A 26,809-nucleotide genomic window follows, 5' to 3' on the forward strand; every position below is an offset into this window, starting at 1 on the left:
CTTCTTGCTCTTCAATGTACTAAGTAATATGTGAAGTTCAATAATCCAGCTCTATTCTGAATTTGAAGCAGTTTTGGAGAAATTACAGTGATGGAGAAAACTCTTCAGAGTTACAGAACTTCTATTAGGTAATTAGCTGAATTAATTAGTTTGATTGGTAGTTATTGTAATTTACCACATTTACAGATTAAAGGACAGTGAATCTGATACTAGAGCACATCTCAGTGCATGCAGATACTATGCATTTAATAAAATTAAAGTCAACGTATGATAAACACTCTTACCAAACTAAGAATAGAAGGAAAATCCTTAATCTTTAAAAAGACATCTATTTTTCTTAATGTAAAAAGAAAAAATATCAAGACTCTCATACTTACTGAGATAAATTTTAATAAGACCAGCAGCAAAGGAAAATGCTTGCTATTACCCATACTGTTTAGGATTGTACTGGAGTCCTAATCAGTGAAGTTAAAAAAATAATAAAATAAAATCTGTAATAATTGGAAAGTTTAGACAAACCCTGTTTATTTTTAATAAAGTACTTGTTTACAAAGAAAATCCTAAATGTATTTTTGTTATTAGAATAAGTAAGATTTGATGAAACAAAAGAAGAAAGAGAAATCTGACATGCAACACAAAATCGAAAATCTTTAGACTACCACATTCCATCAGAAAACGTATTTGATGTATTTTCAATTGACAGAAGAATGCCAATAAAAAATATGTAGAAGCCCTTTACGGAAGAAATTAAATATTTTATTGAAAACATTAAATAATACTTAAATAAATGGAAACATTTGGAAATAACTCTCTATAATAAATTTATCAATATTCCTCAAACTGAGTTATAGAATTAGTGCAATTCCAATTAAAATCTTAATAGGTTTCTTTTTTCCCCATATCTTTTCAGTTACTTGTTTTTTAAATTTTACATTCTGGGGTACATGTACAGGTTTATTACATGAATATAATGTGTAATGGTGAGGTCTGGGTTTCTAGTGTACCCATCAGAAAAAGAATGAACATTGTACCCAGGTGATAATTTTTAATGCTCCCCTCCCTTCCAACTCCTGGAAACCATTTTGGAGTCCCCAGTATCTATTATCTCTATCTTTATGGCCACATATACCTTAATGGAGTTCTTTGTAGGATTTGATAAGCAGATTTTAATTTCAAGGACAATTGGAAGGGCCAAGAACATCTGAGAAATTCCTGAAGAAGGAATAGGGAGATGATTTTTCAAACCATATTTCAAGACATATCATGAAAGTATACACACACGCCCACACACACACACACACAAACACACACATACACATACACATATACACCACATTAGGCGAAAGTTAGAGGCAGCATACATAAAATTTTACCTTTTTCCTGAGCAGACTTTGCACATAAATGTCAGAAGATGAATTATGTGATTGACAAATTGTGCAAGGAATGTTGAATAGCTATATGAAAAAAATTAATTTCTCTCTGACACAAGGTATAAAATCTAGTCTTCATCTATTAACTATGAAAAGCCATACTATGAAACTTTTAAAACATAATGCAGCAAAATTTCCTTATAATGTATGTAAGGAGGGAATTCTCAAACAAGGAACAAAAGTCACACATCATAAAAGACTGCAAATTATATTGTGACAAAAATAAGAATGTCACTACATCAAAGGATGCCATGAAGAGAGTAAAAAGACATGGTACAACTGGAAGATCTTTGTTTTATCTTTGTCATCAGCAAAGAATTTGTATCAACAGCATGAGATCAAAAAGCTCCATGAAGAAATGGACAACAGACCTAAGCAGGAATTTTGTAAAAAAGAAAACGGTAAAAGAAACTCATTGATATCTAAAAATATGTTCACTTTCACTATTTTTAGGTAAATGCCAATAAATATTAGGAATATATTGTTACACTCTAACCAGTTGGCATTTTTTTTCAAAAAGCATGATAATATCAAGTACTAGTGAGAATAGGAAGCAACCAAAATACATACTGCTGATGAGAATGTAAATAGGCACAATCACTTTAAAATGCTATTCACCATGTCTAGTAAGGTTGAACATTCACCTACTTTGCAATTCTACTCCTGTGGGAATACCCTAGAAAATTCTCACATGTGTTCAAGGAAATATATGCACAAATATTTATAGTAACATTGTTTTTAATAGTAAATTGCCAGTAACAACCCAAGAGCCCATCACTAATTTAGTGGATAAGGAAACTTTGGTTTTATTTTTAACTATTGAATCTTTACAACAGTAAAAACTAATGTATGAAAGCTGCAAGTCATCATAAGGAAAGAATCCAGTGAGGTCAGAGAGTTAACAGGGGTGAGGACCAGTTTGAGCAAGTCATTGCAGCTCATTTTAATAACATTGGCTTTTACTCTAAATAAAATAGGAAGACATTGGAGGATCTGACAGATGAGTGAAATTGCCTGACTTAGGTTTCATAAGATCATTCAGACTGATGTATTGATAATACATTAAGGATAGAGATAAAAAAGCAAGGAGATCAGTCTTAAGAGTAACATAATCGATGTAGAAATAGCGCTGACTTGTTCAAAGGTAACAGCAGTGGAGGTGATAAAACAATATACAGGTTTGACATGTATTCTGATGTTAACCTTAAAGAATTGCTGGAGAATCTGATATGAGGAGTAGAAGAAAGAAAGGAGGTTAATATGACCCCAAGATGTTAACATAAGTATTTATATAGTTTTGATATTTGTCCTCTTCAAATCTGAGATTGAAATTTGATCCCTAATGTTGGTGGTAGGGCCTGGTGGGAGGTGTTTGGGTCATGGGGGTAGATCTCTTAAGAATGGCCATTCAAATTGGAAGTCAATGGGAGTAATGAGTGAATTCTAGCTAATTAGTTCACTCAAGAGTTGGTTGCTTAAGAGTGTGGCACCTCCCTCCCTTCTCTCTTTTTTTTTTTTTTTTTTTTTTTTTTTTGAGACGGAGTTTCGCTCTGTCGCCCAGGCTGGAGTGCAGTGGCGCGATCTCGACTCACTGCAAGCTCCGCCTCCCGGGTTCACGCCATTCTCCTGCCTCAGCCTCCCGTGTAGCTGGGACTACAGGCGCGCACCACCATGCCCGGCTAATTTTTGTATTTTTAGTAGAGACGGGGTTTCACCATGTTAGCCAGGATGGTCTCGATCTCCTGACCTCGTGATCCGCCCGTCTCGGCCTCCCAAAGTGCTGGGATTACAGGCGTGAGCCACCGCGCCCGGCCTCCCTTCTCTCTTTTGGTCCCTCTTTTGCTATGTGATACATCTGCTCTGTCTTTGTCTTCTGCCATGATTGTAAGCTTCCTTAGATAACTCCCAGAAGCAGATGCTAGCACCATGCTTCTTGTACAGCCTGTAGAACCGTAAGCCAAATAAACCTTATTTCTTCGTATTATCCAGGCTTGGGTATTCCTGAAGAGCAATGCAAATGAACTAAGACAAGTATTTAGAAAAGCAGAGAATTCTGCAGGACAAGCATGTTTTTGGTGGCGGTGGCGGGAAGAGGAGAAGATAACCAGTTCAGATTGTGATACTTATGTTTGAGGGGCTTCACAGATATTCAAATGTATATGTAGAGAAAGCAGTTCCATATACAAGTGTGGAAGTACAGAGAGAGGTCAAGCCGCAAATAGCAAGTATTGAAAGTCATGAATGGGAGTACTGAGGAAGTGTACACAGGTAGAAAGAAGTGTACACAGGTAGAAAAAAGTGTACACAGGTAGAAAAAAGTGTACACAGGTAGAAAGAAGAGCTTGAGAGTATTCCATCATTGAGAGCAGTGGTTCTCCACCAAAGGTAATTTTGTCCTGAATATTTGGTTGTTCCAATGGGAAATGAAGGTGCTATTGTATCTAATGGGTAGAGGTCAGAAATTCTGCCTAACATCCTACAATGTGTAGGGCAACCCCCACAATAAATAATTACCCACCCAGAATCTCAGTGGTACCAAATTTAGGACCTTGTTAAGAAACCTGGCTTTGGAGTTGGGGCAAAGATCTTGCAGAGAAAATTGAGTTGATGTGGCCTGAGGGTCAGGAGGAAATGAGAGTGTGGTGTCCTGAAAGGCAAGTAAAGGAAATGTTTGAAGGATGAGAAAATTATCTCAGCTATGGCCAATCATCTAATAGTTCAAGCATTATTGAGAGCTAGCAATTGACCCCAAGGTATTTAATAATCTGTAAATTATTGCTGACCTTGATGGAAATAGAATTAAAGAAATGGTCTAGTAGATTTGAGAAAGAATATATAGAGAGAAATTTGAGACAGTGGATAGAGACAGCTCATCAATGAATTTTGGCATAAAATAAAGAAGAGAAACAGAATGACAGATGAAGAATAATCGTGATCTAGAGAGTTTTGCTAGTTTGTTGAGTTTAAAGACAGTGACAATAGCACCATTCTTTCATGCTAATAAAAATGATCCAGGACAGTGATACAAATTGATAAGGAAGAAAAAGAATGGGGGACCCTTGGAGCAATGCCTTTGAGTAGCTAAGAGAAGATATAATATAGTTATTGATATACTCCAATTTTTATGAAAGGTAAAAGATGACAGAACAAGCATTCTCAGTCATAAACATGCATACCTGCATGAATTTTATTTTGACTGTCAATTTTTAGCTATGTGACTTTAGTCAAATTATTTAGTCTTTCTACTTCAGCTTTCATCTGTGTAATCTTTCCTTCATATGAAGCTGTTTTAACAATTAAATGAGATTATGTATGCATAATACCTAATACATTGCTTTGACACACACTAGGCTCTCAAGTAATGACAACTGTTACTATCATTATTATTTAATGAGAAAATCAACTACTTCGTTCTTGGGATATTTCTGATTGTCATCATCATTTAAAGCTTTAAATGTTATGTCTGTAATTGTGTAGCAATATCTTAAGAGAGATACCTCCTGCTAAAAAATGCTGATATCTGATTATAGGTAACATTAGAAAAATTAACTCAAACAATACCTCTATTTTTTTTCCATAATTAGCCATCTGTAATTTTTATTTACTTAGGTCATTTTGTTTCTTGTAGAGATATTAAATTACAATGATAAAAACTAACTTGTAAAGATTATTGACTTTACCTTGATTTATATTTAGGCATTGGAATAAGTGTTCTAAATTTAAATAAATTCCATTTGATTTAATTCAATTTTATTTTATTTTAATATTTAATTATGGATGTATGCTATCACTTAAAAGTGTTTCTTACATAATTTAAAGCTGAGAGCAAATGATTGTTTTGCAAGACCAAAAGCAATCCTTCATATGTTTACAGGTGAACACCATTGTTAATGCTCCATGCTAATTGCATATAAAATTAGCATCATTATCAATTTAAATGTCCAAAGCATATTATTTTCTGTTTTTCTCTTTTTACTGCAATATTAATTGCCCTCCATAATTGTTATAAGTTGAATATTTTAGGGCATCTGGATCTTTAAATCATTACAAACTATTTAAAACACTAAGGCTTAGAATCCTAAATCCTAAAAGCTAAGGGTACGTTGTATCTGACTTTACACACACACACACACACACACACACACACACCCAGGAAAAAAGGTTACATTGTATCTGACTTTAAATACACACACACACACACACACACACACACACACACATACAAACACACACGGCAGGAAAAAAAATACCTTTGCAGAGTTTCCAAGCAGAACTATCTCAAGTTTTTTGTATTTTTCCCTTCAAGATTATATAACAGAAGTACAAACATTATTTTTCTCATGATAATGCATATTTTAGAGTCAAAATTATTTACTAAAAAAGCTCAAGATATTGAACCTCGCAGGGTGATGGCCCAAGTAAAGAGCTTCTATAATTATGTCTAAAACAAAACCTGCTGGCAGAGCTTAAAGCTTTAGTTATAGCACAGCAAACACAGTGAAGAACAGGGACGAGGCTTCATTGGCCTTAGTGGAGAAAAGAACTTGCCTAGAGACTGGTCTGCGGGAGATAAACAAAACATATTCTAATGTGATCCAAAGTTAGTGAACTTTCAAGCATGTACGCAAGGAACAAAATTCAAATGCACACATCAGTGATTTATATAGCTATAACTTAATTATTTGGGAGGAATTTCCATTTGTGTTATATGTTCTATTATCGATGTAACTCAATTGGATTGCCTTCTTATATTTGCATTTTAATGCACTAAGAGGATTTAATTTGAACTCTTCTCCTACAAGGCTATTCCAAATGGAAATTTATTTCCAAGTTACTATTTGAGCTTCATTCCATTCACTACAATCAGACATGTTAGAGTATGCTATGATGCATGCAATCACTCAAATACAGAGTGTGTGATTAGTATGGAATCAAACTCAACTTAATATTTTAAACAGCCTTGTCAGGTCTGCATGATGACACCAAATACAAAGCAGTGCTTCTTGGTGATGAGGTTGTAAACATCAAGAACATCATGGTTCTTTTGAAAAATTGATTAGACAAATATAATGATCCACAAAAAAGTGAATACATATTGCAGTAAGATACCAATACAGAAAAGCAAAGAGAATTAGGTGAAATATGGTGTATACATATAATTATAATGTGGTTCATTAAATTTTTTTAATTTGTTATTTGTTTGGAATTTTCTTATGTAAATTTTTATAAAAACGTATGCTGTCTAATGTAAAACTACTTTTAAATGGTAAACATTCACACAAAATTATTCCTGTAGGTGGTAAATTAAGAAGTGAGACTCCCCCCTAAATTTTAAAAAATAAGTTTCCATATTATACAATTCATTATACAATGAATACAATATATATTCATTGTATGTATATTCATATACAATGAATACAATATATATTCATTGTATGTATATTCATATACAATGAATACAATATACAATGTATATTCATATACATACAATGAATATGTAATGAATACACACATATTCATTACCAGTGCACACACATACACAAATGTAAATCTCTATAGGCATGCATATTTACCTATAAAGATAGCCATAAACATATAAAATATGAGAATTTATTTTTTAAGTAGTGAAAAGGAAATATCTAAATTATCTCAACATGATGAGCTTTAGGAAATAAGAATCAAAATGTATATCTAAAAACACACAAAGCGTAAGTGGGATGTTACTGATAGGTATGATAGAAATACAATTCTATTTTCAAAATATCTATAAAATGCAAATTTAAAGAGGTTTCCATACAATATTTATAGTCATAATTGTCTATTTTATACAACAAGCAATTCCCAAATCTCAGGGACCTAAAAGTGTATTTCTCGTTTTCCCTACATATGCACTGAAGGTTGGCAAGGAAAAGTCTTTCCATGAAGTTATTAAAAACAAACTGATGAAGAGTAGCCTATCTCATGACAGCCCTGTCTCAACATGGACATGAGGATATTCCATAATAAGGGAAAAAAACGGAGAATCATGCATCAGCTCTTAAATACTCCCAGATGGAGATAATGCTGTCTTTTCTATTATTTTACTGAACAAACAAGTCACATGGCCATACCTAACATAGGAAGAATTAGGATAATATTTCCATATGCTCAGATAGTTTAGAGAATCAAAAACATTGGTGAGTATTAATAATTTCTACCAAACTTTAGGAAGTTTAATGTGGTAAAGCTTAGAGTGTCCTGATGTGTATGATGATTCTCCAAGGCCAGTGGAGAGACTATTTTGAATTTCCTAAACTTTTTTCTAAAAAAGTGATTTGTTTAAGTGGGAATGTTTTTCACTTAATCTCTGTGACCAGATCATGAAACAGTAGTTTATGCAATACTTAGGAGGAGATAAACAGACTAAAACTATTTCACAGTTTCATAATAATAGTTAAGATTTTGATTTTTTTATAACTAAAAGATTCCTGTTTTGATAATTTCTTATTTATATGCATGATAGTAAAGGAAATAATAGTGATTTTTGTGGAACCTAAAGCTTAACCAATTAAGCACCCAATGTTGTTTTCTTTCTAACACTTGAATGGAGATATCTATGTAAATATAATGTCCATATCTATGTATTTATATATCTATCTATGAATCTATGCATCTATCTGTCTATCCATCTGAAGAATATTTCCCTTGTAACTGAAACATCCATGTCACTTTGTTGTGAATCTATTCCAACAGAAGGATCAAAAATAGAATTTCCTTTCTAGAGTAAATTCCTTAATACCATACTGACATCACTATATCTATAGCTAAAAGAACCTTTTTATAACATGTTTTTATGTTTCACTCATTTTTTAAATTTTATAATAGGCTTTAGATTTACAGAAAAGTTGCAAAGATGGTACATATACTATATATCAGTTATCATATACCCAACACCTAGTATTCCCTATTGTTAACATCTCATGTTAGTATGACACATTTGTCACAACTAATAAACCAATGCCAATACCTTACTATTAACTGAGGCACACCTTATTCTGAGTTTCTGTGTTTTTTACCTAATGTCCCTTCCCTTCCCTTCCCTTCCCTTCCCTTCCCTTCCCTTCCCTTCCCCTTCCCCTTCCCCTTCCTTCCCTCCTTTCTTTCTTTCTCCTTTCTCTCTCTCTCTCTCTCTCTTTCTTTCTTTGTTTTCTTTTTGTGTGTGTGTGAGATGGAGTCTTGCTCTGTTGCCCGGGAGTGCAGTGTGGGATCTTGGCTCACTGCAACCTCCATCTCCCAGGTTTGAGTGATTCTCCTGCCTCAGCCTCCCAAGTAGCTAGGACTACAGGCGCACGCCACCATGCCTGGGCTAATTTTTGTATTTTAATAGAGATGAGGTTTCACCATGTTGGCCAGGCTGGTCTCGAACTCCTGACCTCAAGTGATCTGCCCCCCTCGGCCTCCCAAAGCACTGAGATTACAAGTGTGAGCCATCGCACCTGGTCCTAACATCCTTTTCTTTCTGAAGATCCCATTCAGAACATAAAATGAAATTTAGTTATCCTGTTTCTCTAGGCTCTTCTTAACTATGATTTCACTTGTTTTCTTATTTCTATTTCCTTCAAAATTTTATAAATATTCTTATCTGGGAATTAGTTTCTTAGTTTCTTAGTTAATCTGGAAATTAGTTTCTTAGTTTCTAAGTTAAGAAACTAAGAAATAGTTTCTCCTATTTCTCTTTAGTTAACATTCCCTAACTTAACATAAAAATACTACTTTTCAAAAAATGTTGAACAAGTTCAACATCAAGAAGCATTTCACAAGAAGCTGTCTTCACAACAGGCAAAAGGTAGATTTTAAATCTACAATTGTTCTTTCATGCTTGATTTTTTAAAGTATGGCCAATAACAAAAGCAGTAAGATTTATTTGTAGTACAGAATTATACAATCACTCTATTGCTATAAGAAAATACAAAATAAAGTGATAAATCCTCATACAGGTCACATTTTTGTGTACTCTGTAAGTTACAGTTCTCCTTGAGATCAGTTTACTATCTTTTCTTTGAAGAGGCTTTCCAGAAAGTTTTTATTGTTTGCATTGTTTCCTTAGTTTTTCTACTTCTTATTCATTTGTATCTATAAAATTAATGTTTGGGCCAGGAGCGGTGGCTCACGCCTGTAATCACAGCGCTTTGGGTGGCTGAGGTGGGTGGATCAAGAGGTCAGGAGTTCGAGACCAGACGTTGGTGAAACCCCATCTCTACTAAAACTACAAAAAATTAGCTGGGCGTGGTGGCAGGCACCTGTAATCCCAGCTACTCGGGAAGGTGAGGCAGGAGAATCACCTGAACCCAGGAGACAGAGGTTGCAGTGAACTGAGATTGCGCCATTGCACTCCAGCCTGGGCAACAAGAGCGAAACTCTGCCTCCAAAAAAACAATTAATGTTTGAAATACGAAGATTACTCAGGCAAATAAAAGACATTTATACCTAGCCAACCAACCCACCTTTACTTAAGCCACAACCTGAGTTACCTTGAATCTGGCAGATTACTATTCAATATTTAGTGAAATTTGATATCTCCAACTAATAAATAAATATATTAACATTGAAGCTATTTGAACCTTCCCATGTTAGGTGACTTGGTGAATAAATTAGACAATTCCAAGCTGGTTGACCAAATCTTCCCTCTGAATATCTCAACTAGCCTGTCACTGAAAAATGGCTGAACACAATCCAAAATACACTGAGAAAAAAATGCACTATTTGTGTTTTTTAGTGTGATAATTATTGTGTCATCCTAAATTCCTTTTGTGTCTTGAATTTGGACCTTTAATGCATTTTCAATCATTATATCTAATATATTTATGATTCCAGTGAGTCCTCAAATTTTAATATATCAACATAATGCTTTATTGAAAATGTACTTATCTGCATATTAATAGGTCTAAAAACACCTATTAATTTAATTAGAAGTTTTAAAGATGATGTATATATACATTTATACATTATAAAAATAGGTTTTCAAAATAAACGATTAGCATGTCCACTGTCAATAATAAATTATCATCTTTGTAGTTCATACCCTCAAAAAGATTATTGTGTTAATCTTACACATGTAACATTATTTTATAATGCCTTCTAAATATGATATGAAAGTGCACGTGATTTATTACTGTACTTTGTATTTTCTGAGTCAGGCATTATTAACCTGCATTTCAATAAGAAGTGATCAACCATTTTTCAATGAATGCAGCATCTATAATTCTAAATGAATTTTAAGTGCTATAGTGATTTCAGTGAGTGAACTCTTCAGAAACAACAGACTTAGTAGGCACCCTGAAAGGACTATATGTAAAACAAGCCAAGCAATCAATCAAACAAAACAGTGTGAGATTACTCTAGCCAAACTTGTTTGAGGAAAAATACTGCAAGGTCAAAACCAAAATCTTTTGTATGTGTGTGTCATTTACCATGTGATCATGGCTCTGTGGCCCACAGAGTTCTAATATTCAAAAATTGTTTTGAAAACACTCCCAAAAACTGAAGTGTCTGAATGTTATCTGTTTAGAATTATCATCAAATCTGGAAGTGTTGAGTAATTGAAATGAAACCCATACAAAAGATTCTTCCCACTAAAAGTCAATGTATGCTGGGTGCGGTGGCTCACGCCTGTAATCCCAGCACTTTGATGGCTCAAGCCTGTAATCCAGGCTGAGTCAGGAGTTCGAGACCAGCCTGGGCAACATAGAGAGACTGTACCCTGCCGACCAACCATCTGTCCAAAATATAAAAATATTTTTTAAAAAATTTAGCCAGGTGTGGTGGCTCACAAGCCCAGAGTTCAAGAACAGCATGGGCAACACAGAGAGACCCCTATCTCTACAAAGAAATGTAAAATTTAAAAAAAAAAAATTAGTTCTGTGTGTTGTTGCATCTCTGTGGTTCCAGCTACTTGAAGGGCTAATGTGCATCATCCCCCACAAAGATCGCTAGAGCCCAGTAGGTGGAGGCTGCAGTGAGCTGCGATCATGCCACTGCACTCCTGCCTGGGTGACAGAGCAAGACCCTGTCTCTCAAAAAATAAAAAATAAAAAAAGTCCATGTAGTTTCAATTTGTCTATATATTTGTATCTGTGTGTGTATATGTATATATGTATATATATAAGCACACACATATAGCGTGCTTCTGAAAAATATTTTTGTTCCTGGTAGAAATGCTACCTTATGATTTTACTTAATTTGTAACTCAGTTTCAATACTACGTTCAGTTTGACATCTGTTACTAAGAAAAAACATGTGGAGTATGCCTGAAATAGAAGTTTCACTATTCTGCCATTTAGTGGTAAGTCTTGAATGAAAAACAGATATATAACCACATTAATAAAATTTGTTTTATTTTTCCTCTAAATTAAGGAAATTTTTAATTTGTGGTGCTTTTGGTTTTTGCTAACAGTTTAGAACTTCCTAAAGAATATTGGCTAATCAGGATTGTATCAGAATAATATATTTTGTTTGGAATCCTAGATATTCAAGAGATAAGTTATGTTGAATAAATATTGACATACTTGAGAAGGCCAAGTGCTTCCTAGAAAGACATACTGGGCCTAATGTTTTTAAAGGAAGACTTTCGACATGGAAGAAAAATCAGTTTACATGGAAAATATAACAGTAAAGCCACAGAGTTCTTAATATAAGACAGAGATCATTGGAGCCTTTTGAGCCAGAGAGAAACATGTGTGCTTCCTGTCTGAGGCAGTATGGGCTGTAACCTCCCAGAAACCTTGATGTCAGCTTGGTTCTACCTTAAATGCTCTTCTAAAGTTTTATCAAAATAAATTAACAGTGTCTAGAAATGTGTCTGAGGTACAATAATTGTTCAATAAACAATTATTATTATTCTCTGGCATCTATTTTCATTGATTCTGTACAATGAAGTTAAGATTCTTTTAAGTTAATGTTCAAAGACATAAAGAAATGTTACAACAGAAGAATTACTACCAGAAAAAAACATTAAAACATCACATTCACTAATAAGCAAATGTAAATAAAAATCCAGAGTGCATTTTTACTCAACAAAATCATGGCACCCAACACTGTGGTTAAATAATATCTCAACCATTGCTAGTCTGAATGTATTGATGTAATCATCATGGAAAATAATATGACAATACCTATTCCTATTACTTAAAAGTGTTCATGTGATTTTACCAAGTAATTCAACTTCTGGGGAAATGTTATAATAATAAAAGCATAACTGAATTTCAAATATACGTTTCAAAAGTTTGTAGATCACTAGACATTTACATAAAAACTGCATGCCAAATAATAGCAAATTTTACTAAAATTTGGCCTTAATGTAATCTCAATAAATCACATGTGCTGCAGTTAAATTTAAATTTCATATAGGAAAGATCAACTAATTGCAAAAATGCCATTATAGAGAAATCAATTACTTTAGTATGAAATCAGGAATGAATAACACTATCACATGAAGCTATGTTAAATCATTAGAAATCCAGTTTTGTTTCTTTTTCCAGAATGCTCCAATGGAGGTATTCAACTGAATCATTAGGGCATATATGATACTCTTTCTCTCTGATAAAAAGAAAAAAGAAAAAAATTTAATTGGAAAAAGTTTTTAAATTAGCAGGTTTTATATTTTGAGCAGAATGTTTAAAAATCATGTAGCAACTTCCCAATCAAAAATAACTTGAGATAGTTTTTATTTTCAAATATGTAAGGTATATAAATATGAGACACGGTCCTTGGTATGAAGTTGCTAACTCAAAACATTACTGTCTGTTTAACAGTTTCTGAAGACTGATATTCTCTAACTTTGTGCCAGTTTTAAAAGTTTGAAAGGTTCTGAAATAGAACAAAAAATGATGTTTAAGTCCATTGTAGTTGAGCTAAACAGCAAAATTTTAGGATGTGACCTGCCATATTCTAATGACTATCACAGATTAATTTAAGCCTGCTGGTGCTTTACAGAAGTCTCTTGTATACTTGGCATCTTGTCACATTCTATTTTCTGGATCAAGAGCCCAGTGTTAAGATCTAGAAACTGGGGCAGTAAAAGCCTGAGTATCACACAGCAGGGTTTCCATAGTGTCCTAACCATTTATAAATCAAATCCATTTAAGGCCAATAATAAATAGGACACAGCAATTTCAAGAGAAACAGTGTGGCTTCTTCAAATATTTAAACAATTCCGAATTTTGCAACTTCAAAAAGTTATTTTGCATTTAAAAATACCTTTATTTGCTCTACCTGAAGACTATTTTTGAGGCAAAACAAAGCAGCACTAGAAGGCCAGAATCAGAATATTCTTAATGCCTTCTTGAGCTCCCTCTACTGATTTTTAGACAGTTTTTAATTTAACCGAAGTGTTCAGCAAAACATGTATAATTAACCAGAAGTCCAGTAGAGTAGCATCCAGAGCAGTTTTCACAGCTGGGCACACAGTCCGACTACAGACATTATCAATTAAGTTGTACTATTTGTGCACAGACAGGGAAACAAACAGAATGAAAGCCCTTCGACTTTCTCAGGCCTCAGGACATGTAGAGAAACAGGGCACTGGCTAAAAGAAAATAAACAGTTGCAGAGGGTATTAATTTGAAATCGTTGTTGTCATGAATTGTAAAGAAGTAGACTTTAAATGCAAAGCATTTTCTAGAAACTTTCTCTTCAGTTTTTAATGATTTTTACTCCAATTAATTATAGCTTTATGAGAAATCTCACCAAGGAAATAATTCAGGAAAATCTTTGGCACAATTCACGCACTTCTTTCAAGTCTTATTTTCTTTGTAAGCGCACTAACTCTTGATATTCTGCCAAAGGATTGAGATATTGTGCATTTAATTTTTGCGTTTATTTTCTAAAGGTATAGATGTATTTTTATTACTATTATTTCTTTTGCTTTTTTCCCTACATAGTCCCATGATGTCACACTATTTGAATAAACAAAGCAATTTCATAATAACAAACAATCACTGTAGTTTCTCAAGCATGTGCACAAACCCAAAAAGTGTTGTAAGCATTTCTCTTTCCCTAATAATGCCATAGTGTCTGGGATAATGAATCGTTGACATAAATACCAGCTCACTCAATCATTGCCTTAAAGGAACATACATTTTAGAGAACTTAAATTTTCTATGAAAAAATGTGAAGTTCTGAACAAACAAACTGCACAATGCTAAAAGGGTCTAAATTTATACTCAGAAATTAGCTTTAAGTCCCAGAATTTAGTTGCAACATGCTCTGTATAGTATGTTTAAAACTGGAAAGAAAAAAAAAAACCGACAACATATTTCAAATACATTGTAGTGCCAAACAAAAATGAAAGCTAATTTTCATTAACAAGAAAACCACAAAAAGTAATTACTTTTTTCATGATATGTGCCTTCCGGTTTTTGCCAACAATTTGTCATTTAAAACTGAATAGAATTTTACAAATTGAAGTTCATTCAAGAGGATTTTAAGGTATTATATCCCATCAATACTTGATAATCATAAACTTCTATTTTGTGAGTAGATGTTCAGTATTCAACATTCTTCCACCCTAAATGTATTGACTTCTTACTGGATGATAAACTCTTTGTTAAAGTCCCTGAGGTTTACTAATGTCATGTCTTCTCAGTTATAATTATGGATAAAAACATACCCTTTTTAGAATGATAAGGAATCTTAACTTCAATCAGAAATTACTTAATGGGTTCCTCAGAATGGCATGAAGATGGAACCTATGATAACTCCAATCTTAGGTAGCACTCTTATCCCTTAGTAATACTTTACCTGTTTTACTTTTTACCTGAACACTTATCAATGCCAGATATTATATTACACTTTGGCCTTATTAGTTTGCTTATTGTCTATCTTACTACAGAGAGGGTAGGGCAGGTACTCTGTCTCTCTCATTGCTACCCATCCCCAGCACCTGAAAGGGTACCTGAAACAGCAGGTATTTAATATATTTATTGAACTAATTTATTTCTCTTAAAATAACTATATATATGTGTGTGTATATATATGTATATTATATATGTATATAATAATATATGTATATTATATATGTATATAATATATGTATATTATATATGTATATAATAATATATATGTATATTATATATGTATATAATAATATATGTATATATGTATATAATAATATACATGTATATATACATGTATATTATATGTATACATATATATGTATATGTATATATATATATTTATATTTATTTTAGACGGACTTTCACTCTTGTTGCCCAGGCTGGAGTGCAATAGCATGATCTCGGCTCACCACAACCTCCACCCCTTGGGTTCAAGTGATTCTCCTGTCTGATCCTCCCGAGTAGCTGGGATTACAGGTGCCTGCCACCATGCCCAGCTAATTTTTTGTATTTTTAGTAGAGATGGGGTTTCACTAGGTTGGCCAGGCTGGTCTTGAACTCCTGATCTCGGGTGATCCACTCGCTTCGGCCTCCCAAAGTGCTGGGATTACAGGCTTGAGCCACTGCACCCAGCCAAAATAGCTATAATCTCAATAATATTTTTTAAAGTATTGCTTATAAAAGAATGAAAAATCGAATTTACCTTTTAGTTAGTTATCTTTATTTAGCTTTTGTCAAAATAAAATTGTTTTAATTGTATATAAAAGATGCAAGTGCAATGGCTTTTTTCTGTGTAATTAATGTTAGTAAAAATCATTGCCCAATAATTTACTAATCTTTAGACTACATAAACAAGAAAAAAGTATCCATAGCATGTAAATCTTTTGTTGAAGATCTTATGAACATGACATTTTTTCAAATGTTGAAGTTTTTCTTTTAAAGTAAATCTAAAGTATATTTCTTGCACTTTTCCTAAATAGCAAGTGTAAAATATCATGTTCACTTTCTACATAATTACTATGTTATCTATAAAAGAGCATAAATATAATGTTAAATACAAGTTTCTGATTTGCATGAAAATAGTCCATGTTGCATGCAATAAGTTCATAATAAAATATCCTTTGTGTGGTTCTCAGTCAGAGACCAAAGTTAAAAATGGGAAAACACAGCAGATGACCAAACTCTAATATCAAAAAACATTAAGCAAATCCATCATTATAAATCTATTATAGTCCTAAATGTACAAAGCATTATGTAACAAATGCAAGCATAAAAAGAGAATAAAATCCAATGTGGATCAATTAATTTATATATATATGAAGTAATTGTAAACTATGCAGGTTTTTTTTTACACACAGAAGAAGTTTCTAGGCTTCTTCCTATAAAAGATTTAATTAGGAAGAACAGCCTACGACATATTAACGAATCCAAAAGCCACTCCAGACTGTCTACTACACAGTTTAGGTGATAAATTTAGGGTTAGAAAGAAAAGCCCAGTGGCATTCAAGCAATAAAGACCAAGGTTTAAGTAAAACTTCAACCAGGTACAGTAGGCAGAACACTACCTGAATCCCAGTGACACCCACTCTTGTATAATCACCTCACCTTGTGTGTAGGCAGGACCTATAACTTGCTTTTGACCAATAGACCATGGCAAAGGTAATGTGCTATTGCTCTTGTAGTCACATTATATGGCAAAAAGGAAGGGATTTAAAGATGTAATTAAATGTATATCAAAAGGGAGATTACCCTAGCTGGCCCTGACTGGATAAGTGAGCCTTTAAAAGCCGGGTTAGAGGTCAGAAGCAGAAGCAGTCAGATTAATTCTTCTGCCGACCTTGAAGAGGCAAGTCTCCATGAGTTCTGAGCCGCAAAGAAACAAATCCAGCCAACTGTTAGGTGATCTTGGAGAATCTCAAGCCTCAAATAAAAACCCAGGGCTGGCAGAAACCTTGACGGTGAGGTCCTGATCAGAGGAGCCAGCTCACCTGTACCCAGACTCACAGTTCATGGAAATCCGGAGATAATAAATGTTTATGTGGCTAAGTCTGTGATAATTTGTATGTCACAACAGAAAACATACATATGTTTTAAAAACATGAACATTTTGATGAGATCCAAAGTGACACTGACATGACATTTACTGCAACAAAAACTGCAACAACTCTGAAAATCACATGGGAGCACAGTATGCTCTTAAACTATAAGAACTTTTGACTGAATGCAGAAGAGTGGGACCTAAACAGGGATTCTTGAAAGTACAACAGTCCAGACAGGACATTGTGTTTATACAGAGGTAAGGAACTATGTGATGGTTTAGATTTTAACTTATCTTTGTTTTGCATGTGTGCATTTCACATATCAGAAAATGGAAAAGCAGGCTGACTACTTGCAGGGTGTAGAACCAATTAGAAGAATCTTTAAAGCAGCAGAGAGTGTCAACTTAATGTAAAAATTAGAGATCTAATGATGATTTCTGAACACAGTGGCATTTTAAAGCATATTTTAATCAAGAGAAATCCAGAGAAGATATGAAATCTGTAACAGCAGGACATAAAGAGTAGGATCTGATCATGCAGTTGACTTCAGACAAAACTTGGTCTAAGTCTCAGCTCTGTGGGCAATACCTTAAGACTTGGTTTCAGAAGACATACAAACATGAAAAAATGCTCCACGTCACAAATCAATCATCAGAAACATGCAAATCAAACCACAGTAAGACACCATCTCGCACCAGTCAGAATGGTTATGATTAAAAAGTCAAAAAACAACAGATACTGGTGAGGCTGCAGAGAAAAGGCAAATCTTATATGCTATTGGTGGGAATATAGATTACTTCAGCCACTGAAGAAAGCAGTTTGGAGATTTCTCAAATAACTTAAAACTGAAATACTATTTGACCCAATAATGCGATTACTGGGTAGATAGCCACAAGAAAATTAATCATTCTACAAAAAACATACATGGACTTGCATGCTCATTGCAGCACCATTCACTATAGCAAAGACATGGATTCAACCTAGGTGTTTATCAATGGTAGATTGGATGAAGAAAACGTGGTACACATACACCATGTAATACTACACAGCCATAAAGAAGGATAAGATCATGTCCTGTGCAGCAATGTGGGTGCAGCTGGAGACCATTATCCTAAGCAAATTAACACAGGAACAGAAAACCAAGTATCCCATGTTCTCAGTTATAAGTGGGAGCTAAATATTGTATATACATGGACATAAGGATGACAATAGCAAGCACTGGAGTCTACAAGAGTGGAGAGGCGGGAGGGAGGCAAAGGCTGAAAAACTAATTATTGGGTATTATGCTCAGTACCTGGGTGGTGGGATCACTCATACCCCAGACCTCAGCATCAGGGAATATATCCAGGTAACAAGCATGCACATATATCCCCTGAATCTAAAATAACAGTTGAAAAATAATTTAACTTTTTTTAAAAAAAGATGGTTTCCCTATATCTACATTATAAACTGTTATGCATATAAAATGAAACTGTGTTTATAAATGCTTAAGACTATGCACAGGATTTTATGAATCATCAGAAATTTTGTCTCATTATTACAGCAGGAAGAAACAAGAATAAGGAGACTAGTGCAAAGAATGTCAAAATAATTTTGTCTCAGTTTGGACAGTCTGGGTCAAGGTAAAAATGATAAGAGAAAAATAGAGAATAGGGAATCAGACAAAGCTACATGATAAAGTGAGGGATGTAAAAGTTGTGTACCTGCTGCGTATTGTATAGGAAGAACAATGTAATTTTTAAATATTTATAAATTTTTAGACCAAAGTAAATTGAAGGAGAATTTGTCATCAACTGACTGCCAGAAAAAAAATAGAATGGGGATCATGTTAGGGATGAGATCATGAGTTCATGGGGTTTGTGCTGTCACCATGAAATCAGAGTTAAAATGTCCAGCAGACCTTTGTAAATACATTAATGGACTTCAAATCTGGGTCACAGCTACAGATTTGGAGGATATCTGTGAAGAGATGATAATTGTAGCTGCTGGAGTGAATAGACTTCCTAGGGCTCCACAGAGAATCAGGAACAATGAGTTACACGAATGGTATACACAATCTCGTAAAAATTCCAAGATTAAAAACATTTATGCCAGACTTCTTGTCAAAAGTGAAACATTGATTATTGTTAACCAATATGTAAAATATAAAATAAAAGGCCCTATACGCTTTCCACTTTAAAGTTAAACATTCTTAAGAAAATCAAACTTTTCTATCTCCTTTGGGATCCACTTAATAAAGACAACCAAAAACTTGTATAATGGGGATTCAGTAGGGAGTCTGATGCAACTTTCTGGCACACCTGGGAGCTGTGTTATAATTACTGCTAACAGCAGTCACCTCTTCTCTTTCTCAGTCACCCTAAATGCTATATGAAAACAAAGAGCAACAGCTAGTGGCCAGTATTTCCCTTTACATCAAATGCAATTAGATAGAAACAATAGAATAAAGTATTTAATGTTTCCAAAGCCTTCAAGAGCCCGCCTTAGATTACCTCCTTAGTGCTGTGCCTCAAAGCTAATCATTTGTTTTGATTATTTTATTTAATCTTGATTTAATCTCACAGACTGTTCAAAACTTTAGTAGCTAAGTAATCTGAAGGATTACGTATGAGTAGCAGTTGATACCACAAATGCTGATTGCTTGAAATGGTCTAAATTTCACCAAGTGTTTGAATTTCATCTCCAGTAGGACTTTTAAGGGAAAAAGAAAAACAACTTGAACTCCTAGGAAACATTATCTACTCTATTCTGTTGTTTCTTATGCTGTTTGAGGCACCAAGGGAAACACTGGCTGCTGCTAAAATTTTGAATATTCTATGAGGTCAATTAATGTAGCATCTTTATAACATTAAATACAGAGGGAAAACCCCTTAAGGTCTTTGGTATTATGTATTCTAAAGTGTGTATACTAAAGAATATACGCTATAAAATAATTTCAATGACTTAATAATTAAGGAATAGTCTTGGGGAAATAATAAGAGGCATTTACATATAGTAAAGAGATTATCATAGTAAAAATGATTAGTTTTGAAAATGATATAGCTAGTTACTGGACTTTTGACCTAAATAGAGGTACTAGACATGTAAACTTGGTTTGATTCCCTAATTCATCTATTCCTAGTTGTGTGACCATAGGATACAGTGGTATGGAGATTTGATGTGAATTTCTGCTTTCTTATATTCATATGAGTAATTAAGAATTCAATAGTATCAATCTTTACAAAGCCATGCAAATGTTACATTACTTAATATGGGTTTATGGCCTGATATCAATAAAATATATATGAATACCTATTAATATTTTGAATGGTATCTATGTCTATCTTATTCCTTTTCCCAGATGAAAAAGCAAATTCAGGATCAAAGACCAAATGATACCAATAGACACTCCATTATGAAGCAACAAATGTCTTTACTAGTACCAACTCACTGCTTCTTTTTCTTTAGAAATATGAAGAGCCAGATTCCATAATCCTAAGTGAGGCAGCTCAGAGTCTGATTGACAGTAGAGTCACAGCAATTGCTGTGGCTTTGAGAAAAGGGACATGTAACTACAGAGGGCAGGTAGGCATTTGTGTTTTCATGTAAGGACATTTACTTTTAGGGTTTTGGAATTTTAAAAATAATAATAACTCAAGAGACAAAAAAACAATATCTAGTGGTCCAACTACAAAAGGTAAATTATTTCCATTTCATCATCATCTTTGGGGAATATAGTTCAGGTGTGTATGTTTTAATTGCTACTGTATGTATGTCTTAATTGCTACCTTGGTGCTACATTCACAGAGAAAATACATCAGTAAAGTAAGTTTCTCTATTACAATGTATATTTAAATACAACTCAATGAAGAAGTATTTTTAAATCTTTTGCTTTGGAATTGTTACTTGTGCAATGAACTAGTTATGAGTTGAAATAATATTCTATGTATTGACATACAAATGAACTCACTAAGCAACCACTTTGCTTTAGAGATGTATGTAATTTAATACCAAAAGCCACATTAAATTAATATTAATTACTTGATTTTAAACCAAGAAAGTTCAGAGTGAAGCTGTTCTCTTATTTTACCACATTTATGTGTGAAAACATTAGTACACAAGGAATAAAAATATGTTATGCGCAGGGATATCCAGGCTGTGTTCTACAGAGGTGCATGGCTTATTATCTGAAGATTTGTAGGAAGTAAACTTGATGTTTTACTTTTATAGATTGTAATTTCCAAATCCTTTATCAGAACTCATATTTTTAAATAATTAATGTGGTGCTATAAACTCTTCATTATGCACACATCCATTTTGTTTTTTATTCCTGGCAAATATTCATTTTCAATTGTTCCTTGCCTTGCCAATCAGCATGAGAGGTTCTAAATGTCATTTTAATGCCAAAAAAACTGGTATGTGCACAAGCATTCTAGCCGAAATAAAAAATAACAGTAATTAGAAGACAAAATTGCCATTAAAAGTTATATATTGTATTACAGCTTATTATCTAAATTATTTTGTAATAGCTAGCATGTCTTTAACTTGCATGTTCTAGGCCATGCCCTTGCATGTTTATTCTAGAGTAGAATTTACATATATATGTGTATATACATATATGTGTAAATATATATGTACACACATAAATTCATACACACGTATATACATTCTAATTGTCTCAATTACTTATACTATTATTTAATTCATCCTCTTTCAGAAAACCCATTGGAACTCTGAGTTTATCAAAACATGGTCCCATCCATTATAATAATATCAATTCATCAATACTAAGGTGATTTAAAACACAGGGGGACTAATTGCTTTACTGTATGGTTACCAATTTAATTGGAAAATTAGGATATTTCCACAAGGGATTCTACAGCTAACCTAAAGTAGGATATACCCAAAAGATTTTGGAGGCGTTGAAGCAGAAGGTGATTAACTCTGTTTGGTAAAGGATAATTGGTCACTTGACTCTTAGAACTACTCTAACAACAGGAAATATTTTTTTCTAGTTTATTAGTTCACAAGAGTCTTTTGAGCTTCATAATATATTAAGTAGTAAAAAATACGAGAGATACTATGTCAATTTTGGGCAAATATGAAGAACTAATAGAAAGATGTCATTCAAGGCCTTTGGGTCTTATTGATAAATGAGCTTTAAATATTATTTTTAAATGGTCATTATTCAAAGAAAACTATCCAAATTATTAGGCAAATAACTTCTTAAATATTATTTTAAAAGGTATTTTTATTTTTTTCAAACTTTTTAGAGTATTTCAGATTTATTATGACTTGTATTTTTCTATCGCCCATGTTAGTAACTAGAAAACAAAACAAAACAAAAAAAAAGCAAGCAAGCAATATACAGCCTTGATAATAAAAATTCCAAATTGATTCACCCTTATCTTAAATCTCACAAAACATAAACAGGAATGCATTTTATTTGTAAGAAGAAATAATCTATCTATAAATTTCATTTTTGACTCAATTTTTAGTTTGATCGATAACCCTCAAGAGGTTGAGAAACAATTTAAAAAGACAAATTGAGCACGTCATGTAATATATAATTAAATTATTTTGATAATTTTCTGTAGACTTTATGAAGTTCATCACTTTTCTGCAAACGGTGCTGTATATATTTGCAGTGTGTCTGTAATGAAATGAGTTAATGTCTTAACAAGACATCCAGTGTTGTGTTACTGAATAATCCTTTACATTTTACATGAATTCATTGTAACTCCAAAATACGGTCATTTCTTTGTGGATCAAAGACTTAATAAGGGGCCACCACATTTGAATATCTTTCATAAGTGTCTTCAAAGTTGGCAATTTGATTAGTTTCAGTGGAAATGTTATTCTGCATTTAAGTAGTGTCCCCTATATGCTAAATTTGGGCTTATGATGGGAATCTAATTTTACCTTATTTCAGGACTAAGATGCAAAAGCTAAAAGTGTAGAAAAATCAGAAAAAAAAATGCAGCTAATGTTTTACATTTGCAATCTCACTGAGTCAACCTTTGGTTATTATTGCCAGTAGCATAGTTTGACTTCAGTGTTTAAATATGTTATTGTTAGATGAAACATTAAATTTCATCTTAAAGAATTCCAGATATTGGTAGTTCAAGGTAAATATTTATACTTGAATAAAGACATACATCTTGGAAAACTTTGTGCAAATGGAAGTCAATGACACACTTAGGTACATTTTGAGTAAATATAATGTTTATATATAGTATGCCTTTCAAATAAGTTATAAAATTAAGATATGTATTCATGTTTCAAGATAATAAATAAAATTGAAAATAAAATAAGCCATAATTCTGTTAGAAATTTCACAGCCTAAATATTTATACCAACATAATTAGTTTTAACAAGAACATTTCAAAATTTGTAGTGGAAAGAATGATTCTCTGTGTATTTAAAGGAGATTATGTTGTATAAACTTCCTAGCTCAGTGTTTTATATATTCTTTTTTGCCCCTCTACCCAATCCAGGCTTTCAAAATTTGTATGAATATTTAATTTAAGATCACATGACTGACATGAATCCTACAAAGAATATCTGTTTAGGGTAAAACATGTGAACAACTTCAAAAGATTTACATTTGACCTTTAGTATTTGCAACAATATGCATTGCTTGTGACAATCACTCTCTTGTAGGGCTGTGTAGTAAATACAATGAAAAATCTCTACCTAGAGGATTTAGTTTAAATCATAAAATTCTAAAGCTAAACTTCATCCTAGTAACTCTAATGCAACTAGAGTAGAAATTTTATATTTTAAAATATACAAATATTTAAACCTAACTTAGTGTACGCCTGCTGAAAAGCATAGCTCTATTCAGTTGAATAATACTTATTAAGTACGAAACAGCTTTATATTTAACTCATTCCTATTAATATTGGACATCTACTTGCAACCTAAACTCTCTCTCTCTGGAATGTAAAGGAAATATCCCCCACCCCCGTCCTTTTCCAGGCATCATTTATACTTAATCTAATGTTACTAAATGACATAAATGAGAGACCACAATTCCATTTATCAGGCAAACCATCACACCTGTCAAAGTCATGAATAGTAATAAGAAATACAAAGAGCACAGGATAACTTCTATCATTTAATAATTGCTCACTATGAGAAGTATTGTTCAGTCGTTTTCCACACTGAATTCTTTCTCTGTACACACTCAGAACACACTGCCAATTGATAAAAGGAACATAGCTTCAAAAGAAAATTCTTCTAAGTAAAGAAAAGCTCTCTGTTAAGCATGCAAGAGGTTAAACATTGCTGAAATAGTGAGACATTTTCTCAGCCCACACTTCCCAGTTCCATTCAATTACCAACAGCACAAGCGACTATAATACAAGCGAATACTGTATTATTAAATCAGAACTTCCCATTTACATCCACCTCTAACCTGAGGGGGTTGCAAGGGGATGACATTTGCTAGTCAACAGCAGAACAAACAGCCCCCAACTTGGAAATACACATGACCTTGGGGTGTGGAATGCTCAGAGACTGAGTTTCACAAGTTTTATTTGGATCTACTGCATAACAACACATCTAAATGGACCCAGCATGATGTAAATGTTTCTATACCTACCTCCTCCCTTCCAAAAAATGTTAAGAGAGCTCTGCACTTTGAAGTCTATGCTTTAGATATAGGAATAATATTGATGATTAACCAGAGACTAGTCCATTCAAATAATTATTTGATTATATTTGTTCTAAACAACTTGTTGGTTGATTTATTTAACATCATTTGCTAATATATTTGGGGGGTTTCCTGGAATGGTTCCTATCCTTTGAACCCTGCTGAAAGTATTGCTCTAAAATATTTATATTTATAAAGCAAGATATAACATAATGACATCAACTTCACAAAAAGCAAAGCTCTCAACTTCCCCTCTAGAATTTAGTGCATAATCACTAACAGATTGTCTTGTAATAATAATAATAATAATAATAATAATAATAGTAATTATTAAAATATTTTTGTAATCATTGCCAAAAGTCCAGTTTCAAATTATAAAAATAAGCATAACTTGTTTTTAAATTTTTGTATGGCAGTCTGTATTTCTCCCCCACTTGTAATCATTTATAACAATATTATTTTTCTTACCTTATTTTAACAGTCACAAAAGTCCCCCAGAAAGATTCCTAAACGCTGTGGAAATATAAATCACAATAAAAAAAAAAAACTCTCAAAAGATCGTCTTAGCTGGGGAAAAAAAAATAGTTTGGTCTAAAACTATAGAAATCTCCAAAGTCACGCCTGAATGAGCGCCCAGGTGGCAAACAGAGGACTCTCTCCCACGTCCGATACCACACTCCTTTGTCAAGTTGATATGGGTCCTGTTGGTGAAGCGGGTCCCACAGGGCACAGAGGGTGCAAGAGGGCGTTGCCTTCAGGTGCTGGAGCAACTGGTCCGCTCGCGTCTCAGGTTCAGCACCGACAGCACAGTGGACAGTACCAGCTCCTTTCACCTCCAGTTTGTCTCAGTCACTGAACCAGGCTGATTCTCGCTCCTCCTCCCTAGGCAGGAGCTGCTGCCACTCAACCCGGGGGTGCCCCGCCCCCACCATCTGACGTAACTATTTTGCATATCAACTCGCCGAGAGGTGAGGGGCCGCCCCCTTGACTGGGCTTCTGCTAGAGTCAGCTGCGGCAATCGGGGCAACAAAATTCAGGCTTAACGTCAGCGTGGGCATCTTTGGACTTCAGGATGTATTCTCAACCAGTCCAGTAGAAACTAAACGCTTTGACGGTGCTGGAGCCTTTGCCTTCGCGGGGACTGCCGTTTCTGCGCACTCTAAGATCGCTGCGGGCACAGCTCTGGAAGGAAGACGGGGCGGAGAGAGGGGGCAGTGGAGCACGGAGAGGACCGAGTGGGAGGCGGGTGGGGAGGAGACGGAGAAATAGAATGAATCTATTCAACCATTCTTGAAAACATCTCCAATCCTTTTCATCTTCCTGCCCAAACTTTGCTGCCTCTCCCTGCCATTTGGTTATTTGAACGGATCCGTATTTGGTGTTCCTACTCCCTTCCCTCGGTTCACGGAGCCTCTGGAGGGAGTCGCTGCTGCAGAAACTTGCCTGGAAGAAAAAAAAAAAAATTCTGAGCACTGAGAGAAAACGTGAAAGCTTGCAGCGCTAACCATCATTTCTAAACAGAATCTTAAGGAAAAAAAATACGAGTGCTCCATAGTATATATTATACTTCATATGCGTTCCTATAAAACCTACAGAACCTTCCTTATTCATTCTCATGATTTAAACAAATCCTCAAACTGTATAGACTTGGAGATTCCAGAGGGAAAAAAATTAAATAATAAAAAGTGAAAGTTATCAGCTTCAACTTCCACTGCCAAAATTATGAAGGTTATGCAATATTTATTATGTCTACTATATCAATATTTCTATGAAAGATGGGCTATGCTGGAAGCTTTACATAGCCTTTAGCAATTCTCTCAGTATTTGTGATAT

The 26,809-nt window shown here is 33.8% G+C and overlaps 1 protein-coding gene across 4 annotated transcripts in view, besides 2 other annotated features; it reads right to left on the reverse strand.

Moving 5' to 3' along the window:
- Window positions 1–25,830, reverse strand: part of FSTL5 (follistatin like 5) — a 780,104-nt gene extending 754,274 nt beyond the window's left edge. For all 4 annotated transcript variants that reach the window (NM_001128428.3, NM_001128427.3, XM_011532126.1 and 1 more), the window contains exon 1: window positions 25,445–25,830. The gene's annotated coding sequence lies outside the window, so the exon portion shown is untranslated. The remainder of the gene's footprint in view (window positions 1–25,444) is intronic.
- Window positions 10,218–10,387: an enhancer, noted in NCBI's record as "experimental_75588 CRE fragment used in MPRA reporter constructs". NCBI's record gives its function as "activates a minimal promoter by MPRAs in K562 erythroleukemia cells, with activity observed for the introgressed 4:163069625 variant allele {active_cell/tissue: K562}" and the evidence as "EXISTENCE:reporter gene assay evidence [ECO:0000049][PMID:34662402]".
- Window positions 25,984–26,093: an enhancer, noted in NCBI's record as "active region_22095". NCBI's record gives its function as "activates an Ori minimal core promoter by ATAC-STARR-seq in GM12878 lymphoblastoid cells {active_cell/tissue: GM12878}" and the evidence as "EXISTENCE:reporter gene assay evidence [ECO:0000049][PMID:35858748]".

Source organism: Homo sapiens, chromosome 4 (genome assembly GCF_000001405.40).
Source record: "Homo sapiens chromosome 4, GRCh38.p14 Primary Assembly".
Taxonomy (NCBI): Eukaryota; Metazoa; Chordata; class Mammalia; order Primates; family Hominidae; genus Homo; species Homo sapiens.